General features: G+C 41.9%; 1 protein-coding gene across 15 annotated transcripts in view, besides 10 other annotated features; it reads left to right on the top strand.

Annotated features, from left to right (window-relative positions):
* Positions 3,023–3,072: an enhancer, noted in NCBI's record as "active region_16876". NCBI's record gives its function as "activates an Ori minimal core promoter by ATAC-STARR-seq in GM12878 lymphoblastoid cells {active_cell/tissue: GM12878}" and the evidence as "EXISTENCE:reporter gene assay evidence [ECO:0000049][PMID:35858748]".
* Positions 3,851–3,930: an enhancer, noted in NCBI's record as "active region_16875". NCBI's record gives its function as "activates an Ori minimal core promoter by ATAC-STARR-seq in GM12878 lymphoblastoid cells {active_cell/tissue: GM12878}" and the evidence as "EXISTENCE:reporter gene assay evidence [ECO:0000049][PMID:35858748]".
* Positions 3,961–4,160: an enhancer, noted in NCBI's record as "active region_16874". NCBI's record gives its function as "activates an Ori minimal core promoter by ATAC-STARR-seq in GM12878 lymphoblastoid cells {active_cell/tissue: GM12878}" and the evidence as "EXISTENCE:reporter gene assay evidence [ECO:0000049][PMID:35858748]".
* Positions 4,211–4,450: a silencer, noted in NCBI's record as "silent region_12192". NCBI's record gives its function as "represses an Ori minimal core promoter by ATAC-STARR-seq in GM12878 lymphoblastoid cells {active_cell/tissue: GM12878}" and the evidence as "EXISTENCE:reporter gene assay evidence [ECO:0000049][PMID:35858748]".
* The window catches only part of STAT1 (signal transducer and activator of transcription 1), a 45,023-nt gene continuing 34,959 nt past the window's right edge, over positions 4,443–14,506 (top strand). For 11 of the 15 annotated variants that reach the window (NM_001384890.1, NM_001384883.1, NM_001384885.1 and 8 more), the window contains exons 1-5: positions 4,443–4,596; positions 4,936–5,089; positions 8,610–8,738; positions 9,507–9,651; positions 10,953–11,051. In NM_001384890.1, the coding sequence (NP_001371819.1) occupies positions 8,611–8,738; positions 9,507–9,651; positions 10,953–11,051 (372 nt within the window). In that variant the 5' untranslated portion in view covers positions 4,443–4,596; positions 4,936–5,089; position 8,610. Of the gene's footprint in view, positions 4,597–4,935; positions 5,090–8,164; positions 8,248–8,609; positions 8,739–9,470; positions 9,652–10,952; positions 11,052–14,506 lie in introns of all 15 variants that reach the window. The other 4 variants (NM_001384884.1, NM_001384881.1, NM_001384891.1 and 1 more) reach the window with 3 other exon arrangements.
* Positions 4,481–4,680: a silencer, noted in NCBI's record as "silent region_12191". NCBI's record gives its function as "represses an Ori minimal core promoter by ATAC-STARR-seq in GM12878 lymphoblastoid cells {active_cell/tissue: GM12878}" and the evidence as "EXISTENCE:reporter gene assay evidence [ECO:0000049][PMID:35858748]".
* Positions 4,771–5,090: an enhancer, noted in NCBI's record as "active region_16873". NCBI's record gives its function as "activates an Ori minimal core promoter by ATAC-STARR-seq in GM12878 lymphoblastoid cells {active_cell/tissue: GM12878}" and the evidence as "EXISTENCE:reporter gene assay evidence [ECO:0000049][PMID:35858748]".
* Positions 6,202–6,261: an enhancer, noted in NCBI's record as "active region_16872". NCBI's record gives its function as "activates an Ori minimal core promoter by ATAC-STARR-seq in GM12878 lymphoblastoid cells {active_cell/tissue: GM12878}" and the evidence as "EXISTENCE:reporter gene assay evidence [ECO:0000049][PMID:35858748]".
* Positions 6,302–6,361: an enhancer, noted in NCBI's record as "active region_16871". NCBI's record gives its function as "activates an Ori minimal core promoter by ATAC-STARR-seq in GM12878 lymphoblastoid cells {active_cell/tissue: GM12878}" and the evidence as "EXISTENCE:reporter gene assay evidence [ECO:0000049][PMID:35858748]".
* Positions 6,790–6,879: an enhancer, noted in NCBI's record as "active region_16870". NCBI's record gives its function as "activates an Ori minimal core promoter by ATAC-STARR-seq in GM12878 lymphoblastoid cells {active_cell/tissue: GM12878}" and the evidence as "EXISTENCE:reporter gene assay evidence [ECO:0000049][PMID:35858748]".
* Positions 7,180–7,289: an enhancer, noted in NCBI's record as "active region_16869". NCBI's record gives its function as "activates an Ori minimal core promoter by ATAC-STARR-seq in GM12878 lymphoblastoid cells {active_cell/tissue: GM12878}" and the evidence as "EXISTENCE:reporter gene assay evidence [ECO:0000049][PMID:35858748]".

The following is a 14,506-nucleotide window of genomic DNA, read 5'->3' as shown; positions in this document are numbered from 1 at the left end:
CATTGATCAGGAGAGCCTTCTTAGTTTCAGTTTCATATAATGAAAACTACGTAACTGATATCTTTTTGCCCTGGTTTGCAGGCTGTACTGTATTCTTTATCTAGTTATTGTAGATATTTCTGCTATAAGTTGCTTTAAAATGCTTTGTGCAACAAGGCAGATAAACTAAGTAAATAGAACTGGATGATTTGGGTATAAAAGAAACAGTGAGTGAAGAATAGGAATGATACTGTCTTTTCTCCAAGCAAAATACAGTTCCTCCAAATGGGAAGTGTGGAGTAGTTCTTAAGTCTTTCTACTGTAACATCATGTGAACTTATGAGTTACTCCGGTGACTTCACATCAGTTACTCATCATATAATAGTATTTTCTGGATTCCTCACTGTCCTTGACTCTCCTTTGTCTGTACACCAGTTCAGGGGTGGCAAATAGGAAATTTCACCTTACCTGTTGCTTCTGATTGATTGCTGGTGACAGTGTACCCTGTCATTTGTTGCTCTTTTAAATCCAATACAAGTAGTTGCATTTATTGTTTTAAATGTTGTCCAGTTGATGGGAGGCTGAGGGAGGAGAATCGTTTGAACCTAGGAGGGGGAGGTTGCAGTGAGCCAAGATCGCGCCACTGCACTCCAGCCTGGGCGACAGAGTGACACTTGGTCTCAAAAAAAAAAAAAGTTATCCAGTTGAGGCCAGGCACAGTGGTTGACACCTGTAATCCCAGCACTTTGGGAGGTCAAGGCAGACAGATCACCTGAGGCCGGGAGTGTGAGACCAGTCTGGCCAACATGGCAAAACCCTGACTCTACTAAAAATACAAAAAATTTGACGGGTTTGGTGATGTAGGCCTATAATCCCAGCTACTTGGGAGGCTAAAGAATGAGAATCGCTTGAACTCAGGAGGCGGTGGTTGCAGTGAGCCGAGATTGCACCAATGCACTCCAGCCTGGGCGACAGAGCGAGACTCTGTCATCAATACATACATACATACATATATACATACATACATAGTATCCAGTTGGTTTCAGACCAGCAGCAGTCCGTTAGAATATTTAGATTATTTAGAATTTTGATTTAGCGTGGGAACCTGAGGCATGCTGTCTCCTAGCAGAGGGAAGGAGCACACAAGAACAAGTTGATTACAAAGAACACGCAGTTTCAGGACAGATGGTATATACATCACAACTGTTCATATTCCTTTATCCAGAACAAGTCACATAGCCAAGGTCAGAGTTACAGCACACAGAGAGGTATACTCCACCCTTAGTGAACCATGGCAAGCAGTGGGAAGGGACAGAAGAGATTTGAAAATAGTACAATCTACAGACATAGTGTTAGCTGTTTTTTCTAGTTTTGTGTCTTTTGCAAATCTGACATTGTTGATATATAGATATAGCTTTCCAAGCTGACTGTTATAAGGCAACCGTCACACATTTGTATCTGTCAAATTCTGGATTTCTAGGTTTTTGTTTGGCTTTGGTTTGATTGCTTTTTGAAGCAGTCAATATGTTATACAGTAAGAAAATATAAATAGTTTATCCTTCAGGAATATTGAATCTTGGAGGCATAAGGATTGGACACTTCAAAAACCATAATATTAGAGAGTGTATAGTTATTGTCCAAATAAATAGAGACACATATATTATTTGGTCATTCAGAGACCCCAGATTAATTGCTACAGGTTGAGGTGGTTCTAGAAAGAGAATATAGTATTTGGGCTGGGCTTTAACAGGTGAATAAGAATTTGGTAAGTGAAGAGAGTGAGGAGCAAGACTTGCCATTCAGTATGTACAAAGGGGCAGAAATCAGGAAATTAAAAGCATGGGGGGAGTGCTGGAGCTAGACGAGGTTAGTTGGGAAATGCGACAATGATAGAAAAGGCTGGAAAGAAGGAAAGAAACATTTTGTGGAGGATCCAGACTAGCAGACAACATTTGTGTTTATCATATGTGCAAGGAGAGTTGTTAAGGCTTTTGAGCAGGGAATGACTATATCAATGCAGTATTTTAAGGAATTGAATTTGGCAAATATAGTGAAGGAGAAAGAGACAAGAAAAAGGTAGTATACCTAGAGATTAGCATAGCATTCCAATTCTCAAGTGATGAAGGCTTATGGTAGGTATTGCTGTGGATGCTAAAATAAAGGGGGGTAGGGAAGGAAGCATCCACAGATCTTGATGATCCAAATTGGGATTTGGAGTGCCAAATAATCCTATTTGCAGATGTTAGGATTATTCCATTCCTTCATCAATATTGAAGCTAATATCTGTGCAAGTTTTATAGTACCAGAAAAAAAATTTTTAACATGTAATCTACCCTTCCTAGAGTCAACTTTTGATATAGTTTGGCTGTGTCCCCACCCAAATCTCATCTTGAATGATAACTCCCACAATTCCCACCTGTCATGGGAGGAAACTGGTGGGAGGTGATTAAATTATGGGGGCGAGACTTTCCTGCGCTGTTTTTGTGATAGTGAATGAGTCTCGAGGATCCGATCATTTTAAAAATGGGAGTTTCCCTGCACAAGCTCTTTGCCTGCCGCCATCAATGAAAGATGTGACTTGTTCCTCCTTGCCTCCCGCCATGATTGTGAGGCCTCCCCAGCCATGTGGAACTGTAAGTCCATTAAACCTCTTTATTTTGTAAATTGCCCAGTCTCAGGTCTTTATTAGCAGCGTTAAAAATGGATTAATACAGCTTTTTTCAGAGAACAGTAAAACATTGTCTTGGTTCTTGGGTGAGTAAGAGCAGAAGGGACACTTTTGGTGCCGTGGCATCTCTTGGCAGAGAAGTCTAATTTCACTGCTAACTTGCTTTGTGAGGGTGCATTTGTGACAAGAAGAACAAATAGATGTGCAAAGAAAAAAAACTCATACACACACATATAGGCATATCCATGGGAAATTATTCAGATCCTTCTCCTACCCCAAAGTGCCTAATTATTCAAGGCTTGACTCAAATCCCGTCTACTTGAAGGAACTAATTGATTTTATGAGCATATAGTCCAAAAAGATTTAGTTTGTCTGGCTTCAGCAATGCCTACCTGGAGAAGTGACATTTAAGCTGAGATTTTTAAACTAAGATCTAAAAGATGAGTTAGCCAGCGAAGAGTTGGGTGAAGCAGATGTTGGCTCAAGGGGTTTTCCAAACTCAGGGTGAGAAGTCCCTGAGTTTGGAGAGTGTGGTTTATTTGAAGAACTAAATGCTGAAGTAAGCAAAGCAGAGTGGCACATTATGGGGTTGGACAAAGAGATCGGGCAACCAGGGCTTTATAGTATGTATTAAGAAACTGAATTTTATAAGAGCAAAGAAAAGCCATGGAAGGATTTTCAGGTTGGCAAATGACATGATCTGCTTTTCAATTAAAAAAAAAAACACTCAAACTCTTGTATGGAGAATGGATTAAAAGGTAGATAAGGGCTGAAGTGAGGCAGCCATTCGGGAATCTACTGCAGAAGGAGGCAGCAGAAGAGATGGAGCAGAGTAAATGAGACTTGGGAAATATTTAGGAGGAAGAATCAATTAAGATTTGAGGATCAGGTGTTGCGAGGTGAGGGAGAAGGCAATGTCAACTATGAATCCTAGGTATCTGTCATGTGCCATTTCTAGAAAAAGAGCAGGTTTGAGGAGAAAGATGTTTGGTTCTGAACATAGTTTGTAGAGCTCACTGCACATACAAGTGGAGAGGCAAGTGGGAGTTGTAGGTGTGAAGCCCAGAGGAGAGGTGTGGACGGGATAAGCATTTAAGACTCCTCCATCTAGAAGGAAACTGAAGCTGTGGGTGAGGTCATCACAGCACAGCGTTTAGGAGAAGCCCAGGTAAAGAAGCTGACGAATGTCTGGACCCTGACAACCTTAACATATAATGGTTTGATAGTGGAGGTGGAGGCAATGTAGAAAGAATGCCAGAGGCAGGAAAAAGCAAGAAGGATGTGTTATCATCATGACCAAGGAAGAAACGTGTTTCAAGAACAAAGGCGTCAACTCTGCCCCATGCTTCCGAGCTGTCAAGTAAAGTGAGAAAAACAGAAAAGCGTTCCCTGGGTTTAGCAACACGGAGGTCAGTTGCTAAAGGGAGCTTCTAGAATGACGACGTCGCCAAATCTGTCCTCTGCCTGGATTCTCGGCGATGAAACTACTACAGAGACCTCCAAGTTTGGGCTTCTGCAAACACAGCACGTCCTTCTGATCGTTCTCTAAGATATGTAAACAGAACGCCAGTTCCCAGCGTGGCAACACGGGACTGGGCTGCAGCTCACCCAGCCGGCGGCCCCCGCCGGAAGCCGGCGGAAATACCCCAGCGCGTGGGCGGAGCAGCGGCCCGCAGAGGGAGGCGGTGGCGCCCACGGAACAGCCGCGTCTAATTGGCTGAGCGCGGAGCCGCCCGGTGATTGGTGGGGGCGGAAGGGGGCCGGGCGCCAGCGCTGCCTTTTCTCCTGCCGGGTAGTTTCGCTTTCCTGCGCAGAGTCTGCGGAGGGGCTCGGCTGCACCGGGGGGATCGCGCCTGGCAGACCCCAGACCGAGCAGAGGCGACCCAGCGCGCTCGGGAGAGGCTGCACCGCCGCGCCCCCGCCTAGCCCTTCCGGATCCTGCGCGCAGAGTGAGTGGCCGTGAGGTTCCGGGTGCCGGGGGTGGGACGCGCAGGGACAGAGTCCTCGGGCCGTGCAGTTGGACGCCGGGCGAGGACGGGCCGTCTGTGCTGACCCGCGAATAGTGATCCCAGAGGAAGAACGCGTCCTGAGTATTCCAAGTGCGAGCAGTGCCACCTGTTCTCGGAGATGGCACTGCTCAGCACGATTGTCCTTGCCAGTCGTGCTCTGGCAGTGAAGAGGACTTGTGAAATATAATTTTCCTCTAGAAGGCACTGCACCTTCCCATTTACCGTCACTTTCTCCCGTTTCCACCCCTTTCCATCAGTCACGTTTTCTTCTTTTCGCAGAAAGTTTCATTTGCTGTATGCCATCCTCGAGAGCTGTCTAGGTTAACGTTCGCACTCTGTGTATATAACCTCGACAGTCTTGGCACCTAACGTGCTGTGCGTAGCTGCTCCTTTGGTTGAATCCCCAGGCCCTTGTTGGGGCACAAGGTGGCAGGTCAGTAAATGTTCATGGAATCAGATGAATGAGTACATGACTTCGGAATCTTAATTATGTTTCTATGTTCAAAGATGGAAGGGCTTAATGTCTTCCTAGAGTTTAAAAGTGATGTTTAGTTTTTGCAGACCCCCCACCCCAAAATAATATAGTCTTAAAAAAATTTCTGGCCGGTACTGAAGAGTTCTGTGGTAGGTATGCAGAGGTGTGGTTGATTGTGCTTTGAATGTTGTTTGTATAGATAAGGAGTTATTTTCATAGAACAGAAACAGGACTTGAGCCTCCAGCACAGTCCATTGTGCAACCATTGCTTAATGAGGATGCTGGACTCACACTTGTGAGATCATAATATGGTTTGCTTTTTACTTTCTAATTCCGTCTGAAATATACATAATTTCAATTCAACAAACTGTTTCGAGCACATAGTATATGCAGGGCACTGTCCAAGGTCCATAAGATGTTAAAAAGCAAAATACCCCACTACTCTACCCCCTCCCCACCCACCTTCCCCCGCCGGGGACTCTGGAGGCATCACAGAGCTTTACAAGGAAAACTGGAACCGATGCTCTAATAGAGGTACAGAATTCAGTGAGACGCAAGTCAAAGAAAGCTTAATTGTGAGTAAGTCTCAGACAACTTTATGAAAGAAGGGGCTTTTGTACATAGCTTTGAATGCTATAGGATTTAGAGACGCAAAAATTTGTGGAGAGGCTGTTTCCAAGGGCGAGTAGCTGGAGCAAAGCAGAAATGTTGGGCACAGTTGAAAAACAGTAAATGATTTGGTGACTGGGTTGCTTTGTTGATGGATGAAGATGGGGTGGGGTGGAAATCTGCCTAGGAATGGACAGATCATAGGATTTTTGCACAGGAGATTGATGTGGTCCAATCTGTGGGCAGCAGAGGCTGGACTGGGAAGGTAGAATGTTGGAGACAGGAAGGAGCAGGTCTTGGGATGGAGTGGAAGGAATCAACCCTAAATCTGAGATTTGAGCTCAGTGACTGGGAGATGGCCATGCCACTCCCTGAGTTGGTAACAGGTTTTGTGAGTAGATGAGACTGACTCCAGATTTGTGAACATGAGCTTATTTATTCATTGTTTTTTTTTTTTAGAGACAGAGTCTCTCTCTGTCTCCCAGGCTGGAGTACAGTGGCGCGATCTCAGCTCACTGCAACCTCCGCCTCCTGGGTTCAAGCAATTCCCCTGCCTCAGCCTCACGAGTAGTTGGGACTACAGGTGCACACCACCATGCCCTGCTAATTTTTTTTTGTATTTTAGTAGAGACAAGGTTTCACCATGTTGCCCAGGCTGGTCTTGAACTCCGGAGCTCAGGCAATCCGCCCACCTTGGCCTCCGAAAGTGCTGGGATTACAGGCGTGAGCCACCTGGCCAGCCCAAACATGAGCTTATTAATTCACCTCTTCTGTGCCAGGTGCTACATATGTACTAGCTCAACCAGCCTTAAGAACCAACTGTGGCAGGGTGCGGAAGCTCACGCCTGTAATCCCAGCACTTTGGGAGGCTGAGGTGGAAGGATTGCCTGAGGTCAGGTGTTTGAGACCAGCCTCAGAAACATAACGAGAGGCTGTCTCTACAGAAAATTTAAAAATTAGCCAGGCTTCTTGGCTCGTGTTTATTGTATTAGTCTGTTCTCATGCTGCTATAAAGAACTGCCCGAGACTAGGTAATTTATAAAGTGAAGAGGTTTAATTGACTCACAGTTCTGCATGGCAGAAGGCATCTCTTCACGGGGCAGCAGGAGAGAGAATAGATGCAAGCAGGGGAAATGCCAGTGGCTTATAAAACCATCAGATGTCATGAGGCTCACTCATTATCACGAGAACAGCATGGGGGAGACTGCCCCCATGATTCAGTTACCTCCACTGGTCCCGCCCTTAACACATGGGAATTATATTACAATTCGAGGTAAGATTTGGGTGGGGGCATAGAGCCAAACCATATCACTTGCAGTCTGAGCTCCTTGGGAGGCTGAGGTGGGAGGATTGCTCTAGTCCAGGGGTTGGAGGCTGCAGTGAACTGCGCTCCACTGCCACTGCGCTCCAACCTGGATGACAGAGCAAGTTCCTGTCTACTAAACACACACACACACACCTTGTTGATAGGGGAGTAAGTTACCTGGGTTCGCTTGGCTAATAAGAGGCGTTGCAGCTCCCATTGCCTGACGGTCCAGCATATCTGCTTTAGGTAGATCCTTATTAGTTACCAAGCAGGGAGGGAGACAGCCACAGATTTTTCCACTCAGGTAAAATAAAACTGAACTGAAAAATCAAATTGCTTCAGCAGGAGTGCCAAGGGGCTGGGCTTGGGTCCGTTTCTACTGGTATATATGAGGATAACTAGCTTTATAGGCCAGACATTTCCTCACACTCCTTTGGAAGGACATTTGTGGAGTAGGCGTGACCTCATGCCTGCATACATGTGCTCGGCTACAAGTATGCATACACACTCTTCCATGCCCTACTTGAAAATCCAGACTCCTTCCCCAGAGGTCTGGCAGGACAAGATTCACTTGTGTCTGCTCTGCATATTGCCACCTGTGTGCTGATATAAATCCTAAGTTACATGATGGTCATGGGAGACTCTCCGTTTTCCTAATGAATTTTAGGACTTGCTTATATCAAGTTTTTGTTGTGATTTTGAATCTTTAGGATCACTATGTAAAAATGGACTTAACAGTTATCCAAAAAGCTAAGTGTTACTTTATCCTTTTAAATTACATTTAATGATGTTTTAATCTTTAAAAATCATTACTTCTTTATGCCAGATTTATTGTTTGTAGTAGGCAAAGAAGAAAATATATCTTTTTAAATGTGTATAAGAAAAATAATGAATTTTACCATATGAATCATAAATATAAAACAGAAGTTTGAAAATATTTGAGTTAAATTACAAATGTACTGTGATTTGTAGGAGAGCAATTTTGGGAGAGTCTTGTGATTTGTCTTAAAGCAAGTCTAATTAAAATAATGTTTTTCATGTATTTATTTGATAAAATCACAAACTCATTTTAAAGGCATATTTATTGGATACCTACTATGTGGTTGACATTGTTCTAGGGATACACCAGTGCACAGAATCCTCCACCAACATCCATCCCTTCAAGTGGTGAAAACAGACAATAATGAAAATAAAATATGTGGTAGGTCAGATGGTGGTGTAAGTACTATGAAGAAAAATAAACCAGGGAAAAGAGAGAGCATGTTTCCAGGGTGGGAGGTGGTTGCAGTTTAAATAAAAGAGGCCAGAGAAGGCTGCCCTGATATGTTGACAATAAGCAAAGACATGAAGATGTGTTTCGTGGAGGAGAAAAAAAGTTCATCCCCAAACTCAATTAAAAACAGGCTTTAGACTATAAATGCCATTTAAATAAAATATTCCTGGGACAAACTATGTTTTGGATTAAGCAAGATATTTAAGAGTACAACCTGATGCTAGGAAGGCTTTCTTTGGAGCTATGGTTTCCATATACATAGAAAGAATGTATATTCTTTTTCCCTATAGGATGTCTCAGTGGTACGAACTTCAGCAGCTTGACTCAAAATTCCTGGAGCAGGTTCACCAGCTTTATGATGACAGTTTTCCCATGGAAATCAGACAGTACCTGGCACAGTGGTTAGAAAAGCAAGACTGGTAAGGAAAATTCACTAGACAGAAGAAGAAGTTTACACCTTAAAAGTACTGGTTGATTAAGTGACTTGGGGCCATGTTTACTGGAAGATGAATTCCATCAATGGCCACTGGAATTATTTGTTGTAGAAAAGTTTGTTGATTTAAAAAATGACTCAACAAAGTTGAGCCAAAAAGTGTCTCAACAAAGTTAAGTATATTAGTCATTAAGCACTTTTATACAGTTTTGCCAAATTTAATTTATGATAGATATTCCTAAATGCTTTGGACAAGTTACGGAATACTGACACCGATTATTTTCCAACTTAGGATCCAGACTATAGAAAGAAGTAATTTAAAAGAAATAAAGCCAAATTAATGGTTAAACATTGATTAGAAATATGAAGAAGGTAGTAAAATTAAGGGGATTTTTTTTAACTGATAGGTGTTCTACTTTAAAATTTATTATTTGCTAATTTAAAAACGTCCTGAAAGTATTTGACATAGAAAGTGAAGGGTCCCCTGTTGACTTTTCCCCCTTCAGAGATAGTCACCATGAACACTGTCATGCACAATCTCTTAGAGTTTAGAATTTTTTGTGCTAATTGCACATAAGAGAAATACCACATAAACTGCTGCTAAAAGCAATGTCAGTTTCAAAAGAAGAAAATAAACCTAAGAAAATACTTAAATTATTTTTAATAATTTCAATAAGGAAACCAACATTTGTTTTGTCTGTTTTACATAGACATTTAGTTCTAGAATGAAATGTGTAAATGTTAAATCTCCTAGGGAGCACGCTGCCAATGATGTTTCATTTGCCACCATCCGTTTTCATGACCTCCTGTCACAGCTGGATGATCAATATAGTCGCTTTTCTTTGGAGAATAACTTCTTGCTACAGCATAACATAAGGAAAAGCAAGCGTAATCTTCAGGTATGACCTGGTTTTTGTATTTTAGTTGAAATGTTCTCATGTTTATGGAAGGCAGTTTTCTTCATTCAGCAAATACAATTGAGCACACACTTATTGGTATTTAGAGAAGTAATAGAGACTAACTCCATTTATGTTTTCTACAGCATCAGTAAATATAGCATAAGTAAAATAAGATACCAATTTATTTTATAAACACAGAAGGAATTTTTAGGGTTAAATGTATCACCTCTTAGGTATCAGTAATCCTGAGAAAAATGTGATGCTATAATTTTGTTTTACTAAAAATTGTCAATATTTAAACCAAAGAAAAGGGGCTACATTTTAAGAGCAATGATCTATAGTAATACATTAAAGCTCCAGGGAACATTAGTGGTTAGGTTCAGGTCCTTGCTATGCAAATGAGGAATAAAACAGGAAAGGTTTGACTTTCACCTAAGGAAGTCAGGTGACTTCAGGAACTAGACTCCACCTTGCCTTGCTTCTGGTGGAGTTGGCCTCTCCTGGAAGAGAAAGTCAAAGAAAGATCCAGACATGAGAGAACATGCTATAGAGTTTTAGGGGTTCTTCAGATGTACTCCCAGCATGCCCTTGGGGTGGCTATCATATTTATGTTGTGTAATAACAGAACTTTTCTGTTTTAATGGAGGTGAAAGCTATCATTTTCTTCTTTCATACAATACAACTGAACTTTTCAGCTTAGGTAATTGGAAGTTGTTTTTTTTCCTTTGTGAATGTATTTATGATTTTATTTACGAGTGGGGAAATCAAATTAACTTTACAGAAATTTGTTCTCATACAGACCTTGCATGAATGTACCTGTATAAAGAGCCATTATTGCTATTGGTAGTGTTTTGCAAACTAGCTTTGACAATGGCAACAGAAAACCCTAGATGAATATCTTTGGTCTAGTTCAAAGCTTAGACCAACAGATGCATTCATTGAGGAATGTCATGTATAGTTTTTATATCATTTGCATTGTCTCGGGATCCTAACCAAAGATAATTGGCCTTAAGAAATATGGAAAGATATTAAAGTAAAAATATTATGTGAACCATATGTGAAAATACTTGTTTTTAAATCAAAAAGTACGTTAGGTACCTGCACTTAGAAAGTTAAAGCAATTTTTGTCATAATTCGTGAAAGAAATATTTTGATTTTAACAAACATAGCTTATATAGAATTTAATAGATGAGAGATGAGGTTTCCCGGAGAATATAAACAAATTCATATCAACTTACAATACACAATAAAGTAAACATTCTGCATTTTAATTTATTTTTGTTCTAACCACTCAAATCTAGGATAATTTTCAGGAAGACCCAATCCAGATGTCTATGATCATTTACAGCTGTCTGAAGGAAGAAAGGAAAATTCTGGAAAACGCCCAGAGATTTAATCAGGTACTTTTTTCTCATTGAACACATAAACTGTAATAAAATAAAAATGTATTCATTCATCAAATACTATTAGGGCCCATGTCAAAGCAATGATGAATATCTCTCTAATTTTATAGCCCCAAGAAGTGGGAGAATCAGATTTAGAGATTTTATAGAACCAGGCTTTAAGAAAGATCCTAATCTAATGGAATTAAGTTCTAACGAGGAGAGAGAACATATAAACAAGATACTTCTGGGTAGCATAAAGTGCTGAGAAGATAACATGCTGAATTCATGGAGTGGCTGGGAGTGGGGTTGTTCCTTTAGATCAGGGTCAGGAAAGGCCTCTGAGTTGCTGGCACAGGAATGGAAGCAGGCAGATAGAGGGTTCTTGCAGCTGTCCAAGGTAGAGGCAGTGGAAGCTTGCGCTCAGTAGAATCAGTGGAGGTAGGAAGAGGTGGACAGATTCAGGTTATGCTTTGGATGTGATACCAATATAGAAGGATCCTTATGTTGAAGGATTAGATGCAGGAGTGAGAGCAGAAAGTCAAGGATGGCTCTACAGCAGCTACTAGAACCCCTTGAAAAATGGTAATGCTGTACACGGAGCTGGGAAGGCAAGGAGGGGGCAGGGGCAGGAGTTTTGTAGGACTCAATAGGTTTGTGGAGAGAAAAGGAGGCTGATGGGAAAATCAAGGGCTTTGTTTTGAGCAACATCAAGATACCTATTAAATATTCAAGGCATCAAACAGTAAATGAGTCAGAGTTGTACTAGTATCAAGATTTTTGATCATTGTTTTATTAATCCTAATACAAACCTTCCTAGTTGTCAGGGTTCAGCAGAGTTTTGAATTTGCTATGGCATTTAGTATTCCTTTCTTGAGCACTGGGGTGGTGACAACAAGCCAACAGGCAGGCAGTGTGAAGCCACCATGTTATGGATTGTTCTGGAGGAGCCCATTGCTATATGGATGCCAGAGGACACAGTATGCATCCTGTGTGCATTTCACCAACAAATAACTACCGAAGTGAACTGTGTGACAGTGGAGAGGGAGGGAGTTTAGGTGTGGTGGAGGATGCCATTCTCCACACACTGCCTGAGCATTTGTCCCAGTCCTTGTAATCCTGTCACTTCCCTAGGCGTATAGTTCCCATCTTCTTGTCACACTGATAGCATCTTGCTGAACTGAGCATGTAAAGATACATATTGCTTATTCTAAACTCAAGCTGGCTAGCTCATCTGGTACCCAGCCTAGGGAACAAAGGTGTATATCAACGCTGGAGGAGAAGCTGGCCAGGTTGTCTCCTCTGAAAGAGGTGTGCCTGTCTCTAACCTGGCATATACCTGGGAGATTTTCAGCCGGCAGTTTTGATTATATGGGGCTTCCATCCTAAAAGTAGTATGCGTGGGCCTCCTCTGTATTTCTAATAGACTTGAAAGGACAGCCAGGAGCAAAGATGGGCAGAAGGACAACCTGTTTCCCCCAGCTGCAAGCATGTCATCCTCACATTTGGCCCCTTGGCCCAGAGATGGCATTGGCAGCAGAGTAGGTGACCCCTGCTCTCCCACATGAACCTCATCCCCTGGCTTTGGATCTTGAAGGTTTACCAGCTTTTGAGCTCCCTCCCCATTAAAAATGTAGGTAATCTGGGGATTGTTTTGAGCCTCTCAGAGGACACCTGAGTCCGTGAACACCTTTGCAAAGCCTTCTTGGGGTGTGAGGGAAGTTTCTGGGTGTCTGGGGATGTCAGGGAAAGGGAAAAGGCACAATAGGTGCCTCCTTTCCAAAGTTATCCAGCCAACTATTGGCTAGGTAGGTCAGAAACATTTCTTCACCATTTCCCCCCTTGTTGAAGTAACTTTATTTTATTAATACAGACATGCATCACTTAATGACACAGATACATTCTGAGAAATGCACCACTAGGTGATCGCGTTTTTGTGCAAACATTATAGAGTGCACTTACACAAACCCAGGTGGTATAACCTACCATACACCTACACTATATGGTAAAGCCTATTGCTCCTAGGCTACAAACCTGTACAATATGAAGTTGTACTGAACGCTATGGGCAATTGTAACACAATGTTATTTGTGTATCTAAACATAGAAAAGGTACAGTACAGATAGTGTGTAAAAGATAAAAGGTGGTACCCCCATAAAGCTCCATTCTAATCTTATGGGGCCACTGTCATATACGCGGTCCATCGTTGACTGAACCATTGTTATGTGGTACATGACTGTGTATATTCTATTCATGCTAAAGTATATGTGTATGGAATGGTGTGATGTCTGGTATTTGCTTCAAATAATCCCATTTGGGGACTAGAAGAGTAAGGAGAATAGGGATGAAACAAGGCCATCCATGAATGCTAATTGTTGAAACTGTGATAGGTACATGGGGATTCAACAGATTCAACAAGTTAAAAACATGCAAAATTCCGAGTTAGTTCAGATCATTTAGAGACCACAAAATTCTATAGACATGCCGAGATGGGAAATTATTGTTCCCATTGTTTTTTAATATAAGAGCTTTTAGAAAATACATTTAAGAGAATATTATGCTATACACACTGTAGTAGACTATAAATGTTTCGTGTGCTGTCTTACAGCACACTAAGTTTTTTTCTTTCTTTTTTTCTTTGTGGTGAAAAAGCTAGTTGCATGTCTAGACAAAAATTTAGGTCCATAGGGTCTGAAGGGATGGGGAGAATTTCTTTCAGGTGGGAGGGAAAGACATGAGGTGGATTCTAAGCTTCCTTTGCTGTTCCATCTTTGTGTTCTTAAGGACTAATGGTTACCATATGCTGAGTGCTTATCATGTTTCAGGCCCTGTGCTAAGCACTTTATAAACATTATTTCATTTGAGTAAATACTTTCGAAACTATCACTGAAGTTAGGTATTCTTATCCCCATTTTAAAGATGAGAAAACTAAGGTTTAGAGGTCAGGTACTTCACTCAGAGCCACAGAGCTAATGAGAAGTAGGTTTGGAATTTAAACCCAGTATTGTCCAACTCTAAAACTAGTTCACTGGAGAAGTCACTTTTCAGTTTTCTAATCTGTGGGATGGGATATGAGGGCTTTCTGGCTGGAACTTCTCACACCCATGGAGTGCCTATTCCCTTACTTGGACAACTGCTCACTCCATTGGAAAGGACCCCCTTCCTGAGCAGAAGACTTTTCTTTGCTCTGGGGTCTGGAGTAACCAAGTTCCCATCCAAACAAGGTCTCTAGAGGTACAGTAGTGAAACGAGAAAGTAAGAGTCAATGACAGCCGAAGTCCCTTCCAACTTCAGTGTTTGAAATTCCCGTGGTTTCAGTACTCCTGGTTTCTTAGAAAGTTAAAAAGTTAAGGACTCACTGTGAAAGTGGTATCAGTACTAAAGTGTACAGGAGCAGCCAAGCATCTGCTTAGCAGATGGGGGCAGGGTGGAGGGAAGCAGGGAGGGATGAGTGGAAGGGGTAAGAGAGCACC

Source organism: Homo sapiens, chromosome 2 (assembly GCF_000001405.40).
Source record: "Homo sapiens chromosome 2, GRCh38.p14 Primary Assembly".
Lineage (NCBI taxonomy): Eukaryota > Metazoa > Chordata > Mammalia > Primates > Hominidae > Homo > Homo sapiens.
Note: the sequence above shows the minus strand (reverse complement) of the source record. Positions and strands in the feature narration are given on the sequence as shown.